Here is a 15,193-nt window from a genome sequence, read left to right on the forward strand (position 1 = left end):
AAGACGAAAGGCACATAGGAGCTGAGGGCACAGCCTGAGCAAAGGCAGGGAGGTAGAGCCACAACAGGTCCAGGTACACCTGTGCTGTGCCCCTTAGCATCAGTGGCCATGCCAATCCCAGCTGACACCAGCTCCTGGAAGGGATCACAGCTCTCGGAGGGGCAGGCTGAATGTGAAACGGGCATTATTTATGGATGAAGGCAAGAGGCCTGAGAGAGGGCATCGGGTTCCTGTGAGGACAGCTTTTGGCGGTGGCTGCATGGAGCCAGGCAGGCCTCAGTGCCCACAGCCCACAAATGGGCATGCAGGGTGTTGCAGGCCGAGGCAGCTGGCTGCAAGCTCAGCGATGCCTTCCAGTGCCCTGGGCGTGGAAAAGAGTTCTCCCATCCACTTGGGGCATAAAGAAGAGAACCATCTTTCCCATTCGCACACACACAGTTTGCTGAGTACCCACCATATGCCAGCACACACGGAGCACAACCCCATCACACCAAGCTGACGAGGGACATCCTGTAACTGCTACCACTGTGTCATCGACAAGGCGCCTGAGACTCAGCGATGTTAGGCAGCAAGGCCAAGGTCACCCGGCGGGAACCTTGCAGGGCTGAGATTTGAACCTGGGTCTGTCTACAGCCAAGGCTCTCTCCATCTAACTCGCAGCTTCCACACCAACCCCGGGGTTCTGGCGCACTGACCCTGGGCCTCTCAAGACATCATCACCATGGTTGTCAGGGCTGTTCATTCTAAGCTTTGCCTGGCAAGGAGGCACAGCAACTTTCACCTACTCCCCCAACAAAGAGACCGAGGTTCCGAGGGGCTCCATAACCACCCAGTCACAGAACTCATAAAAACAGGGCTAAAATTTGAAGGGTGTGTGTGTGTGTGTGTGTGTGTGTGTCTGTGTGTCTGTGTGTTCCCACACCCAGGACTCTTCTAGACAACCCACTGAGGCAGGGGATGGGGCTTGGAAGACAGCCTGACTCCCCTCTCCCAGAGCAGAAATTCTCTTCGTGACGCAAGGTGACTTTCAGGGCCCAGGCTCCAGGGAGCGTCACTCTGAACTCCATTATCCTTGACCCATCTCTCCTCCGAGACCTCGCCTCCAAGGGCACCAGATAAGCGCCCAGCCCCAGATGTGAAAAGACTTGATGTTAGTGAGGTTTTCAGTCTGAGCCAAAGACCCCACAGCCTCTGAGCCTCGCCAGGTCACACATGGCCTGCAGGCTGGCACCAGCTTCCCCTGAGATCCACCTCCATGCCCGGAGACATGGGATCATGGGAACCTAAAGTCCCACCTCGCGGATGCATGCAAAAACGGAGCTGCCATGACCGGAGCCCCACACTCTCCATCTCACACTTCCACAGCCGGATTAGAAATCAAACACGCCGAGGACACCCTTCCCAGTGCCTCCAGGGAAAAAAAGTAGCTAGAGAAGAGGAAAACGAACGGCTGCCCTAATGAGAATGAAATCTCCTGGTGCTGGCCGGTCAGCCTTCCCCAGTGAGTGCACGCCTGTCCTCTCAGTGTCATCTGTCCCCTCGTGGGCCACTCTGCTCTGGGCTGGGGACTCCCACACCGGCTGCCTGCCTCTCCCACACATCAGCTGCCTGCCTCTCCCCAGCTTCAGGGGCCACTGGGCACCCAGCATTTAATTCCAGGAAAAGCCACGAGGCTTCCCAATGACACTGCAATGTGGAGGGGGCAGCTGAATGGAAAGCCCCGCTCCGGCTCAGTTCATCTAGAATGTGCCCTACTTTGGATCTGCCTGGGAACCACCAGTGTTCTCAAACCAAAACTCAAACTCATTTCTCCATCCGCTGCTTGGGAAGCCTGACAAGCCAAATGAAAACTGTGTAATTGCTTCAAATATGGGGACAAGGGGAAAAGAATTCCTTCCCTGTGCCTTCAAGGGCTGCACGCATCTGGAAATTGACCTGTGTGTGTGAGACGGTGGTGCAGGTGTCGGCACTGTTAATGCCCATCACACTCCCCTACCAACCCCAACTTCACTGCTGAAGTTGGGAATCAGTGATAGATCTGGACTGTGTGCAGACATCAGCTAGTCCCGCCGGGGAGAGACATCTCACCACACAGCGGTCACATCACATTCAGCCTGCAGCTCCCAGCATCAGGCTGAAAGGTACGCCCTCCTGGCTCCTTGGAGAGCTTTTAAAATCTGATCTCTTCCCCTGAGACTAACTGGACACTCTAGGGGAGGGACCTGGGCATCAGTTTGCATTTTAAACGCCCTGTGGGTGATTCTAACATGCAGCTCTGTGGTCACTGTTCCAATCATCCAACTCCCAGCCTCCAACTCCGAGGGACCCTTTACCCTCCTGCCCCTGACTATTAATTAGTGGAGCTGAACTCTGAAGCAAAGGCAAAAAAAGCTAGAGGGATTATGATGCAACTAATCGCGCAGGACTGAAGTCTGCATGGGGGGGGGGAATAAACAACCCTTACCGAGCCCTAGAACGCAGGTGCCAAGCCCCCCGGTAGCATAAAGGGGAGAATTTTGCTGGTTTCAGGAGAAAGTGTGTGGGGGCTGCTTTCATCACTAGATGTCAACCAAATCTCTATCGAGTGCCAGGCTCTGTGGGAAGAGCTGGGGGGCCGGGATGATGCCCTGCCCCCACAGCTCTGCCCCGGAGCCTGCTTTCCTGCAGAGTTAGTAAGAACAGTGGGGAGGCGTGGGAGGGGTGGGACATCTCAGCCACATGCAGAGGTGGGAGGTGCAGCAGGTGGAGGCGGCTCAGGAAACAGGGAAATCCAGGCTTGGCTGGGTCATCACAGCCAGCACTGGGAGAGCGGCTCAGGGAAGGCACTTGATCTGCGGTGAGAGCAGTGGTGGGAATCCAAGGCCCTGCAGCAAGAGAAAGAGGGGGCTCTGGGCGGTTCCATCTGGCAGCAGCAACACATCTGGACTGTGTTTCACTGAGGCAATGAAAACAAGAATAAATCCTCACCAGCCAGGTGGTAGGATTCCTAGGGCGATGGGAGTTCAGAGAAGACAGCTCTATGTGCACCAGACTCTACAGGAAAGATAACATAGCCACGTGGAGAGGCAAGGTGGAGCCCAGAAAAGACCCACACACCTGGTGTGTGGCCACGGTGCCGGCGGGGAAAGAACAGAGCGCTTCATGAACAGGGCTGCAGTAGCAACAAGCTGTCCACCCAGAAAACAGTAAAACTCTATCTCAGCCTCACACCATATACAGAAAACAGTTCCAGGAAGGTCAGAGAGTTCTATGTGAAAAAACTATTTTGACCAGGCACAGTGGCTCATGCCTGTAATCCCAGCACTTTGGGAGGCCAATGTGGGAGGATCGCTTGAGCCCAGGAGTTAGAGACCAGCCTGAGCAACATAGCGAGACCCCATTGTGATTTCTTTTTTTTTAATTTTACACTTTTTTTCCTGAGGTCAGCCATGGTGGTACATGCTTGTAGGCCCAGCCACTCAGGAGGCTGAGATAGGAGGATCACTTGAAGCTAGGAGTTCAAAGCCGTAGTGTGCTATCATGCCTGTGAATAGCCACTGCACCTCAGCCTGGGCAACATAGCAAACTCCCGTCTCTAAAAATCATAAAATAATAAAAATAACAAAAACTTCGGCTTTTCTTATATTACAGGAAAGAAGTGAGACACCAAAGATCGTATACTGTACGTTTCCATTTATATAAAATCTCCAGAATAGGCAGATTCATAGAGACAAAGTAGATGAGTAGTTTCCAGGGGCTGGTGCAGGCAAGGAGGGGATAGGGGGTGACTGCTAATGGAAACGGGGTTCCTTTCTGGGGTGACTAAAATGATCCAGAATTAGATAGTGGTGATAAGTGTGCAACTCTGCGACTATACTGAAAACCACTGGATTGGCTGGGCACAGTGGCTCATGCCTGTAATCCCAGCACTTTGAGAGGCTGAGGCGGGCAGATCACCTGACGCCAGGAGTTCGAGACTAGCCTGGCCAACATGGTGAAACTCTGTCTCTACTGAAAATACAAAAATTAGCTGGGTATGGTGGCGGGCACCTGTAGTCCCAGCTACTCAGGAGGCTGAGGCAGGAAAATTGCTTGAACTCAGGAGGCGGAGGTTGTAGTAAGCCAAGATCGCGCCACTGCACTCCAGCCTGGGTGACAGAGCGAGACTCTGTCCCAAAGAAAAAAAAAAAGAAAACCACAGGATTGCATACTTTCATATATATTTATGGGTATATGTGTGTGTGTATATACACATATATATATACACACACATATATATACATATATACACACACACACACATATATACACATACATACACATATAGCATACTTTTAGTTTGTGAATTCTATCTCCATAAAACTATTATTTTAAAACAAAGAGAACATTTTAAAGAAAAATAAAAACTTGAGCTTTCAGGTAGAAAAGGATTTCTTAATCAAGGAACAAAAAGAACAAACCATGAAGGGAACGACCGTGAAACCCGACTATATGAGGATTACGAACGCTGCCAGAGAGTGGCTAGGTGAGCAGAGTTGGACAACAAGCTGCCATCTGGGAGGAGCCATGTGTAAGTCCCCTCCCAGATAAAGGATCATACCCAGAATCCCTAACATCAATAAGGAAATACATGGGAAGGGGCAGAGGTATAGGAAGAGGAGAGCCACAAAAGACGAATCCTGGATAGCCAAGAAGTCTGTGAGGAGACGCCCAACCGCAGGTGTCATCAAGGAAACCCAATTCCGACAATGAGATGCCACTGGATTGGCGGAGAGTAAAAAGTGGTCATGCTGTGTGACGGTGCACACGTAAGAACGGGCCACACAGGGGATGCTGATGATCGGCGCAGCGGATCAGAGAGCAGCCTGGCGCGGTTTCCTGCAGCTGAAGATGCTCACACCCTTGACAAAGCCCAGCACAAGCGCCCAACGAGACAGGCACAAGACCGTGTCTGCCAACACCAGCTGTACTAGTGAAAACTGTAAACCACCCAAATGCCCTCCCCAGGAGACCAGACAAATTGTCGTTTAACCCAACAATGAAATACTGTAGCGAGATAAAAATGAACAAACAAGAGCCAGGCAGAGGGGCACACTCCTATAGTCCCAGGTACTCGGGAGACCGAGGCGGGAGGCGTGCTGGAGCTCAGGAGTGTGAGTCCAGCCCGGGCAATCTAAAAAAAGACCACCTCTAAAAACTAAAAGCAAAAAAACCCAAAACAAAAACAAAACAAAAAGATGAACCAAATACATCTCAAAAACATGAAGAGGATGGGGGCAAGTCACTGAGGGACACACAGTGCGATGCCATTTCTACAAAGTCTGAAAATCTGCAAAGCATCCTCACATTGTTAGAGGCTTGCCAGGCAGGAGAAATTTTTAAAAACTGCACGAGAATGCTGAGCTCCGATTCTGGGCCTCAGCTCTCCCTGGGAAAAGTCGGGGAGGGAGGAGGATGACACACAGGGTGCCTCCGCTCCACCTGCCAAGCTTGATTTCTTAAAAGGCAAAGATCTGAAGCTAAAATGCTTATTGCTGACAGTGTGATAAAGGCGGGCTGTGGAGTAATCGCTGTCTCATTATTCTCCAAGCTTATTGCTTTTTATCTATTTCTTAATAAGAAGTAAGTTAAAGGAAGAAAGTCTGGGCGGCTGTTCTAGAAAAGATGCTGGAAACTCCTCATGTTGTACCACTTCCTCCCCGGGTCCCCATTCCTGGGCTGCATATGGAAATCCCACAAACACCCCCAGCAGTGACCTCCTTGGGTGCCACCCACTCCCAGAAGGAGTAGCCCAACAGCAGCAGTTGAGAGCCCCAGGGAGATGAGGGGTTCACAGGCGTCTGGCTGGAAGGTGGTGGTAGGAAGCCACCCACCAGCACACAGAGGCCAGAGCAGGCCCCCTCTTTGCCCCAACCTGCTCTGTGACCTTGGACAAGCCCCTTCCCTTTCCCAGGCCCCAGAGAAATGAGGGCAGGAGGCCCAGATAACTCAGAGGACTCAGAGGGCAGGACAGGAACGCAACTGGGTCTCCTGCGAGACACTGTCCCCGAAATTAGGCAGAGCGGAGTGGACCTGCCCGGTTAGAAGCGAGATAGACTCAGTTTGAGGACAGCAAATTGGGCTTCCCGCGTTTCACATAAAACTAACAGCAGGGTGATTGTTGACCGAAATGATCATCAACAAGCCTGGCTTAATAGTGCCATCCTCCCAGAGGTCCTGGGGAGGACACATTCTTCCAGCCGTGGAGAAGGACCAGCTCCTTTCATGCGCAGGGCATGTTGCAAGAGGAGATAATTGGTGCTGAGCAATGCAAACAACACAAGCTGTGTGCCCGTGAGGGCTGCTGCGATCTCTGTTCAGAAGAGGCAGTGTAGTGCGGGGGAAGAAACTGGGTCAGGAGTCCCAGCCCTGGCAGCGCCCTCCATGACACACTGGGCCTCAGTTTCCCCAAATGACAACACAAGGGCCTTGTTCTGGATAAAGTTCTCAGCCTGGGCTTGTGAACCGTAGTCAGCAGAATAACAACCCCTCAAAGATGCCCCCACCCTAATCCTCAGGATCTCTGAATGCTATCTGACCTGGCAAATGGGACTTTGCAGATGAGATCAAGGTTATGGAACTCAAAATTAGGAGGAGATTAGTCTGGATTATCCAGGTGGGCCCAATCTAACTGCATGAATGTTTAAAAACAGAGAGCCTTTCCCCGCTGAGCTCAGAGGGAGATGTGACCACGGTGGGGTGGCCACTGTAATACTGAAGATGGGGAAGGGGAGAAGCTGGACAGACAGGGAAGCGGGCTCTCCCCTCTGGCCCCTAGAAGGGAACGCAGCCCTGCTGATGCCTTGATTTTGGCACTTCTGACCTCCAGAACTGCAAGAGAATAAATGTGTGTTGTTTAGGCCACCAGGGTGTAGTCATGTGTGACAGCAGCCATAGGAAACCCACACAAGAACTACAAGTCATGGCTGTGTGACTTTAGGTTGCTTGCTTAGTCACTCTGAGCCTCGGTTTCACTTAAAAATGAGATAAAAACCCAACCTTAGGAGACTGCAGTGCAGACTAGGAGAAGACCAGCTCCGAAAGCCCTGGCATAGGACCTGGACTTAGCAGATACTTCACAAAAACTGCCCTGTTCCCCGACTGCTCACACTCTAACTGTCCGACCTTGATGGAAAGGAAGGGCCAGCTGAGGCCTGCACGCTGCCCTCTGAGCCGAGATACCAGCACCAGCTGACCATGGGGACAGCGGTACCATAACAGGCCTGGGGTGCCCAGGCCACACTCCTCCAATATACGACTGCTCACCTGGGTCCAGCTCGACCAAGCTGCTGGCACCAGCCTCCATCACCAATCCAGCAAAGGCTACCACATCACTGCCAACATTACCCAGTGCAGGCATGCACACTGCAAGGTGATCCAAAGCCAATGTGGTATCACCCATACAGCGCATAGCCTCTTCTCTATTCTAAAGTTGAGGTTTTGTAGAGCATGAAGTACTGGAACCACTAGCTGCTTGTGACATAATGACAAACCAATGCTAATTCCATATGCGGCAGAGGAGATGCCCTCCCAGCCCTAACGGAGTCCTGGGGTGGGGTGAGGGTCACAGCGTACACGGAGCACTGGGGCTGGACAGACACTAGAGATTGGCCACCAAGTTCACACCACCAGTATGCGCATCCTGCCAGAGGCCACACGGGATTGGAGGCAGTGGGGGGAAGGTCACATGAACAAGCAAGCAGGTGAACAGGTGAATGAGTGAGCAGGTAGGTGTGCAGGTGAGCAGGTGAATGCGTGAGCAAGTGAGTATGCAGATGAGCAGGTGAATGAGCAGGTGGGTGTGCAGGTGAGCAGGTGAATGAGTGAGCAGGTAAGTGAGCAAGTGGGTGTAGAAGGCAGTGTGCAGGTGGGTGTGCAGGTGAGTACGTGAGTGTGCAGGTGGGTGGGCAGGTGAGTGTGCAGGTGGGTGTGCAGGTGAGTGAGCAGGTGGGTGAGAGGTGAGTGTGCAGGTGGGTGAGCAGTTGAGTGTGCAGGTGGGTGAGAGGTGAGTGTGCAGGTGGGTGAGAGGTGGGTGTGCAGGTGGGTGAGAGGTGAGTGTGCAGGTGGGTGAGCAGGTGGGTGGGCAGATGGGTGAGCAGGTGAGTGAGCAAGTGAGTAAGCATGCAGCAGGCAGGTGAGTGCAGGCTGAGACCGGAGTCCACCAGCCAGGCTCAGCCTCCCACTCCCCAGCAAGCCCCCTCCCTAGGTCAGAGCCTCTAGGGAAAAGGGCTCAAGAGACAGCCCAAGCCAAATTCTAGCAGACAGGTGGGACCAGCGACAGCAGCCAGGTCCCAAAAGAAGAAAGGAAAGCAGAGGAAAAGTAAATTCCAGGCCCCGGGCCCATGTGGCAGTGAGGACCTGAGGCTAAGAGGAGGCCAAGGAGGATGGCCTTGGTCCCAGACAACCTGGAGGTCTCATCTGAAAGCCTCAAGGGTGGGCACTAACCCGGAACCTGGGGGTCCAGGTGGGAGGCTCAGGAAGGAGTGGAGGAGGCGAAGCTCCTCCCAGGCCCGGCTAGCCTGCGCCCCAAAAAGCCCCAAGGTTGATCAGGCTGTGAGCCCCCTCTAGCTGCCCCTGCACCACTGGGGAGGAGGTAGGCAGGACCTGGGCCACACTGCTAGGGGTGCTGCAATCCTGCCCTACGGCCCAAGCATTCTGCGGAGGCTGACACACCTGCCCTCCACAAGGGTCTCTGGGGGCCTTCATGAGACTGACCCCAGCAAGGCAGGACCAGGCCCTTGCAGGGAGGGGGAGGCGCAAACCTGAGCCCCACAGTGCTTCAGAGAGAGCCTGGGCACAGAGTCAGCAGGTCTGTGCTGGCTGAGTGTGTTGGGCAGGAGTGTCTCTGCCCAAGCCTCAGTGTCCCCTCAGTCCGGTGGGACGAGGTCAGACTCTCTAGACCTCTCAAAGGGAAGGCCAGGCACCCTGAAAGCCCCCTTCTGGAGAGGGTCCTGGCCAGCTGAAGGTGCTGGCACTGACGGAGCTGTTGCTGTCTGAGGTGTGGGAGGGGTTGCCAAGCCAACCTCCACCCAGGCCCTCCCCATCCTGTCACCACTTCACGTGCTCAGCTGCCAATGACCCATAGGCCAGGCTGCCTTTCACCCAGTAAGTGCAGCTGGAATCATCGCCCTTTGGACCCAAGGTTCTCCCCGCAAGGGGGCCACGAGCTTCCGGGGCTCAAGGGTCACCTGCTCACCTTGGGCAAGGCTTGGAAAACCCGGTGCTTCCTGCATGGCTCTTGGCACCGTGACATCACTGGGTGACCCAAAATAGGACTAACAGACCAGGAGCTCATTGTCCTGCTGGCCAGGGACTTGGTTACCCCAGGCCACCAGGGATGGCCTGGGGGTGTGGCCCTCAATGGGAGAAGGACCCTAGGCTTCCCCTAGCAGTGCCGGATAGAAGGGAGGAGAGGCCTGGGGTCAGCTGGGCCTCTGTAATCACAGAAACACTGGTCTCACATCACAGCTGTGTGACCTCGCACCAGTGACTGACCGTCTCTGAGCCTCTCATGTTCTCATCTGTAAATGGGAAGGATGAGGCCCCCTCACTGAGCCGCCGAGAGGATGCTGGATAGATTCCAGAACACCCAGGCCAGAGCCCTGCAGCTCAGGACATGGGGAGAGGAATGTCACAATCTTCTCACAGGCCCTTCAAAAGTCTTCACAAGCACAAACTCCGGGTTCAAATCTCACACGGGGGCCACTAATTCCCTGTGTGGTTTTTTTTTTGTTTGTTTGTTTTTGAGACAGAGTCCTGCTTTGTCGCCCAGGCTGGAATGCAATGGTGCGATCTCAGCTCACTGCAACCTCCGCCTCCTGGGTTCAAGCGATTCTTCTGCCTCAGCCTCCCGAGTAAATGGGACTACAGGCACGTGCCACCACGCCCGGCTAATTTTTGTGTTTTTAGTAGAGACGGGGTTTCACCATACTGGCCAGGCTGGTCTCGAACTCCTGACCTCATGATCCGCCTGCCTCGGCCTCCCAAAGTGCTGGGATTACAGGTGTGAGCCACTGCACCCAGCATGGCTCTTGAACACGTGGCATCCCTCAGCCTCGGCAGCGCCTCTGTAAAGGTAGGCTGTTCAATGACTGCATGCCGAGCCCCCAAGGGCACAGATGCAAAGCCCTGCACAGAAGCCCAGGGCTGGGCTGAGCCCCTGCGGCGGAGATAGGGCAAGGACCCGAGGCTGAGGGCAGGGTCCACCCACGGGAACAGCTCCCCTGAGCTGTGCTGGGGACGGTCCCTTCTCCCCATGACCTCAAGAGATGGGCTCAAACTTGGGGGACAGAGGGTCCAGGGTCCTGCCTCTCCCATCCCAGGAAGCCACTGATTCTGCACTCTGGGAGAGTGCAGGTTGCGGGAGGGACAGGACTGTGTCTTGCTCTCAGAGCTGCTGCAGACCCTCTCCCCGCCACCCAGTGTGGTCGGCTCCACTTGCTCTGTGAATCTGTCTACACTGCTTTCCTGCCTGAACTCTCCGGAGCCACCCACCCCAGCTTCAGTCCCCTGCCCCATGCCCTCAGCCCACACCCTCAGCTCCAGTAACTGAAGAGGACTGTGGCCATCCCAGCACACGAGCTCCCCCATGGCACTGTGCTTCTAACCAAGCCCGGGACTGTGGCCATCCCAGCACACAAGCCCCACCACGGCACTGCACTTCTAACCAGATCCTTCGTTTCTAGGGAGATACACCCCCACCCAGCCTTGGTCACTGTGGCAGGCAAGGCCTCCGCCTGAGTGTGCCCGCCCGGCACAGCAGAAAGCCTGGCACTGGAGTGTGCATGTCCCTCTGCAGGCTCCTGCAGGGCTGTGTCTGGCACAGCGTGATCTGCAGCCCCAGCTGTGGCAGGCGGGCAGGGGGTAAGCGCATGCTGGCAGCCCGCACATCACTGCATGCTGCCAGCTCCAAGCAGGTGACAGCAGGAACCGTTAGCCTTGCTGTCAAATGAGGACCCCGGTCAATGGGAAGCCACCACCCACAGGCCCAGGTCTGACCTGGTCCCCACCCAGGCTCAAGCTCCTCTTCTCGGGTTGCTCCAGCCTTTCTGCAGGATCAACACCTAACTGGGCTCTCAGAAAAGCCAACGGGCATGCCTGAGGTCCCACCTTGAAGCTCATCATCATAAACGGGGCACAGGGCACCCACAGTGAGTGGAGTAGAGTTCATGACTCCTGGTCCTACCACCTCCTTGCTGTGTGACTCTGAGCAGGTTTCTTTCCCTCTCTGGGCCCCAGAGCACCTCTCTGTACAAGGGAGTTGAGAGCTTCCAAGGACCCTTCTGGCAGCACAGGTGGGCACAGATGGACATAGGCCCATGGGGGCCTCAGGTCTGGTGCCTGCCCACAAGACTGTGTTTCTTTAAGAAAGGTATGAGCAAGAACAGACTTGAAGGTCAGGGGAGAGCCAGTGCCAGGATGAGGTCAATGTTTGGTTACTGATGAGAACAAACAGGCCTCAGTCCTGCAGAGGGTGGCCTTGCTGGAAGTGAGGCGGGCGGGACAGGGAGCTAGGGAGCCTCCCTCTGTGTAATCACGCCCACAGGTGAGAGGTGACAGCCCAGCTGCTGAGAACTGCCCCAAGCCAACTCCTGGTCTCAACAGGGAGGATGGCGTGGGCCCTCAGAGCCTCATGGGATGGGACAAGTGGGCCTTAAAGGTCAGCCTGTCCCCACCTGTCCTACCAGCAGGATGACCTTGGGACTCTAGGGTGTCCGCCGGCTTGTCCAAGGCTACAGGTCAAGTCAGTGGCATGGCCGGGGTGACAACACGTGCCCTGGCCCTGCCCCACAGCTGTCCTATGAGCACACACACCTGGGCCTTCAAATCCCTTCTCCTCCCTGGCACACAGCCACTTTTTTCTCCCAGGCCAAGTGGCAATAATGATAATAAGAGCCAGGGATTACAGCCCTGTTGGATGAAATAAAAATCCTGAGTCCACGCTGATAAAAAGGCATCCATACATAGCTCACTGAGGGAAAGGGGAAGCGGCCCTCCCAGGAGAAGGCCAAGTATTAAATGTGGAAGGAGGTGGAAGGACGGGAGAAGTTAGAAAATCAGCATCGTCCCCACCAGACAGCTAACTGTGGATGCTGAGACAAGTGCGTGTCTGCCTGCTGGAGACCAAGACATCTGCATGTCTCCAAGAGCCTCCCGCAAACCAGTTATTACTTACAGAGATTTGTATGCTCAGCTTACAATGGGGGACCCTCCCAAACCACGTAATCAAGTTCACACCCCAAGATGCACACCTCAGGTTCCCCTGATCAGACACACGTCCCTTGTGGGCTGTTCTTGCCCAAAATGCACAGCCTGAACCTAATGACACGGAAACATCAGACAGCCCGATCGGCTGATCTTCTACCAAAGAACCGGTCTGTACTGTCAATGCAGTTGGAAAAATGTCAATGTAAAGAAAGATTGAGACACAGCTCCAAATGAAGGAAAGCTAAAGAGAGAATGGACCACATATGATCCTGCATTAGAAAACAATCACTCAGGCCGGGTGCAGTGGCTCACGCCTGTAATACCAGCACTGAGAAGCCATGGAGCAAGGATCACTTGAGCCCAGGAGTTCAAGACCAGTCTGGGCAACATAGCGGCATCCCGCCTCCACAGAACATTTTTAAAATTAGCCGGGCATGGTGGTGCATGCCTGTAGTCCCAGCTACTTGGGAGGCTAAGGCGGGAGGATCACTTGAGCCCTGTTGAGGTTGCAGTGAACTATGATCACACCACTGCACTCCAGCCTGAGTCACAGAATGAGACCCTGTCTCTTAAAAAAGAAACTTGCTCTAGAGCATCATATTGGGACAAGTATTAATAGTATCAACGTTAAATGTTCTGATATTGATCATTTTTTGTCACTATGCTATATGAAAGTTCTCGTTCTTTTTTTGCGACAGTATCTCACTGTTGCCCAGGCTGGAGTGCAGCAGTGTGATCATGGCTCACCTGAAACCTTGAACTCTGAACTCCCAGGCTCAGGCAATCCTCCCACCTCAGCCTCTCAAAGAGCTGGAACCACAGACATATGTCACCACACCCAGCTAGTATTTTTTATTTTTACTTTTTTGTAAAAGTCTCACTATGTTGCCCAGACTGATCTCAAACTCCTGGGTTCAAGCAATCCGCCTGCCTCAGCCTCCCAAAGTTCTCGGATTACAGGTATGAGCCACTGTGCCCCGCTGAAGTCCTTTTTCTTAAGAAATGTGTACCAAGGTATTTCGTGTGAAAGGGGTGTGTTAACTCTAACGTCTCTAAAATACTTCAGAAAAAAAAAAAAGTCCAGAGAGAGAATGATAAGCAATGAGGTCAAAACAGTTGGCAAATCGAAATGAATGCTATATCAGCACCTTTTGTACATTCTTGCCACTTTTCTGTAAGTTTTAATTCATTTCAAAAGAAAAGAAAAATCTTCACCTCCATTTATAGAACCACGTGGGAGGTGTTATGCTGAGCACTTTACCTCTGTTACCTTCTCAGATCCTCACAGTAACCTTCGGAGAAAAATGCAATTATTCCTATTGAAAAGTGAGGAAACTGAGGCTCGCAGAGATGAAGAGACTCATCTAAGATCACAAAGCAGAAAGTGCTGTAGTCGGGATTTGAGCCCAAAGCCCTTTCCCAAGGCCCAGGCTCTAATTCACCAGGGCACGTGGTCTCAGAGATCGTCTACCAGGTACAGCCCAGGCTGTTCTCGGCTGGAGGAAGAGACAAGAGCTGGGTTAACAAGGCCAGCATCTGAGGGATGCTGGTCCCTTGGCCACTGCCTGGCTCACTCTGTGATCCTGGACAGGTGAGCTCACCCATCTCCCTGTCTGTGCCATTTCCCCATATAGAAACAAGGGTCATCTAGTGTCCATCTTTAAACATCTGCCAGCCCCAAGGCAAAGGCTGCATCTGGCTCTTCACCAAGTCACTCCTGGGCCCAGCAGAGGTGAAGCCAGGCTAGAAGGAGACAATGGCTCAGAGAAAGGAATGCCCAGGGTACAGGTGGCTCCCACATGGCTCACACATGTAATCCCAGCACTTTGGGAGGCCGAGGTGGGTGGATCACTTGAGGCCAGGAGTTCGAGGCCAGCCTGGCCAACATGGTGAAACCCCATCTCTACTAAAAATACAAAAATTAGCCAGGTGTGGTGGTGCACGCCTGTAATCCCAGCTACTTGAGAAGCCGAGGCACGAGGATTGCTTGAACCCAGGAGGCAGAGGTTGCAGTGATCCAAGGTCGCGCCACTGCACTCCAACCTGGGCCACAGAATAAGACTCTGCCTCAAAAAAATAAAGAAAAGAAAAAAGAAACAATCACTATTTTAGTCCGCACCCTTCCAAACATAACATAAAATAGCTGAAAGGATGAAATATCACAGAAGAAAGTGCGTGTGCAGCTTAATCTTAGGGGAAAAAAATATCAACCAGGTCTACTTCAGTGGTCTATTTAAGTCGATTCTGGAAAAACCTGGACAAACCTCCACAGTTTCTCAGGGTCTCCTTGAAACCACGAGGTTTCCAGTGTGGACTGATGGCAGAGAACTCAGCCGTGTGAAAGCCACTGGCCTTCATCATCTGCCCAACAGCAGAAGAGTCACTCCACCTCCCTGCCACCTACCGTAGCAAGCCGAGCAGTGTCCTTCCAAATTCATGTCCGCCCAGAACCTCAGAATGTGATCTTATTTGGAAATACGGTCTTTGCACATGTAGTCAAGGTAAGGTCCAGAGGAGACCACACTGTATTAGGGTGGCCCTAAATCCAGTGACTGCACGTGAGGTCAAGAGTTCCAAACCAGCCTGGCCAACATGGTGAAACCCCACCTCTACTAAAAATACAAAAATTAGCTGGGCGTGGTGGCAGTTGCCTGTAATCCCAGCTACTCGGGAGGCTGAGGCAGGAGAATTGCTTGAACCCAGGAGGTGGAGGTTGCAGTGAGCCAAGATTGTGCCACTGCACTCCAGCCTGGAGATAGAGCGAGACTCTGTCTCAAAAAAATTAAATAAAAATAAAAACAATTAATCCAATGACTGGTGTCCTTGTAAGAGACAGAAAAGGGCAAATGGAAACAGAGGAGGCCGGATGGAAAGAAAGGCAGACATGGGAGAGATGAGGCCACAAGCCAAGGAACACCAGGAGTCATCAGAAGCAGGAAGAGGCAAGGAAGGTGATGTGGTTTGAATC

The 15,193-nt window shown here is 53.3% G+C and overlaps 1 protein-coding gene across 4 annotated transcripts in view, besides 4 other annotated features; it reads right to left on the minus strand.

Moving 5' to 3' along the window:
- The window catches only part of CCDC85C (coiled-coil domain containing 85C), a 104,018-nt gene that overhangs the window by 43,430 nt on the left and 45,395 nt on the right, over positions 1-15,193 (minus strand). The window lies entirely within an intron of this gene.
- Positions 1,413-2,147: an enhancer, noted in NCBI's record as "H3K4me1 hESC enhancer chr14:100011369-100012103 (GRCh37/hg19 assembly coordinates)". NCBI's record gives its function as "activates a minimal SCP1, AML or CMV promoter by ChIP-STARR-seq in primed H9 embryonic stem cells {active_cell/tissue: H9 hESC(primed)}" and the evidence as "EXISTENCE:reporter gene assay evidence [ECO:0000049][PMID:30033119]".
- Positions 7,761-8,499: an enhancer, noted in NCBI's record as "H3K4me1 hESC enhancer chr14:100017717-100018455 (GRCh37/hg19 assembly coordinates)". NCBI's record gives its function as "activates a minimal SCP1, AML or CMV promoter by ChIP-STARR-seq in naive H9 embryonic stem cells {active_cell/tissue: H9 hESC(naive)}" and the evidence as "EXISTENCE:reporter gene assay evidence [ECO:0000049][PMID:30033119]".
- Positions 9,126-9,270: an enhancer, noted in NCBI's record as "145 bp enhancer 184 fragment used in the MPRA reporter construct; PK_construct_1639". NCBI's record gives its function as "activates an SV40 promoter by MPRA in HepG2 cells {active_cell/tissue: HepG2}" and the evidence as "EXISTENCE:reporter gene assay evidence [ECO:0000049][PMID:23512712]".
- Positions 9,192-9,205: a transcriptional cis regulatory region, noted in NCBI's record as "HNF4 motif; enhancer activity is reduced when this motif is scrambled". NCBI's record gives its function as "necessary for full MPRA enhancer 184 activity {active_cell/tissue: HepG2}" and the evidence as "EXISTENCE:site-directed mutagenesis evidence [ECO:0005528][PMID:23512712]".

The sequence above is a fragment of the Homo sapiens genome, chromosome 14 (assembly GCF_000001405.40).
Source record: "Homo sapiens chromosome 14, GRCh38.p14 Primary Assembly".
In the NCBI taxonomy this organism is placed as follows: domain Eukaryota; kingdom Metazoa; phylum Chordata; class Mammalia; order Primates; family Hominidae; genus Homo; species Homo sapiens.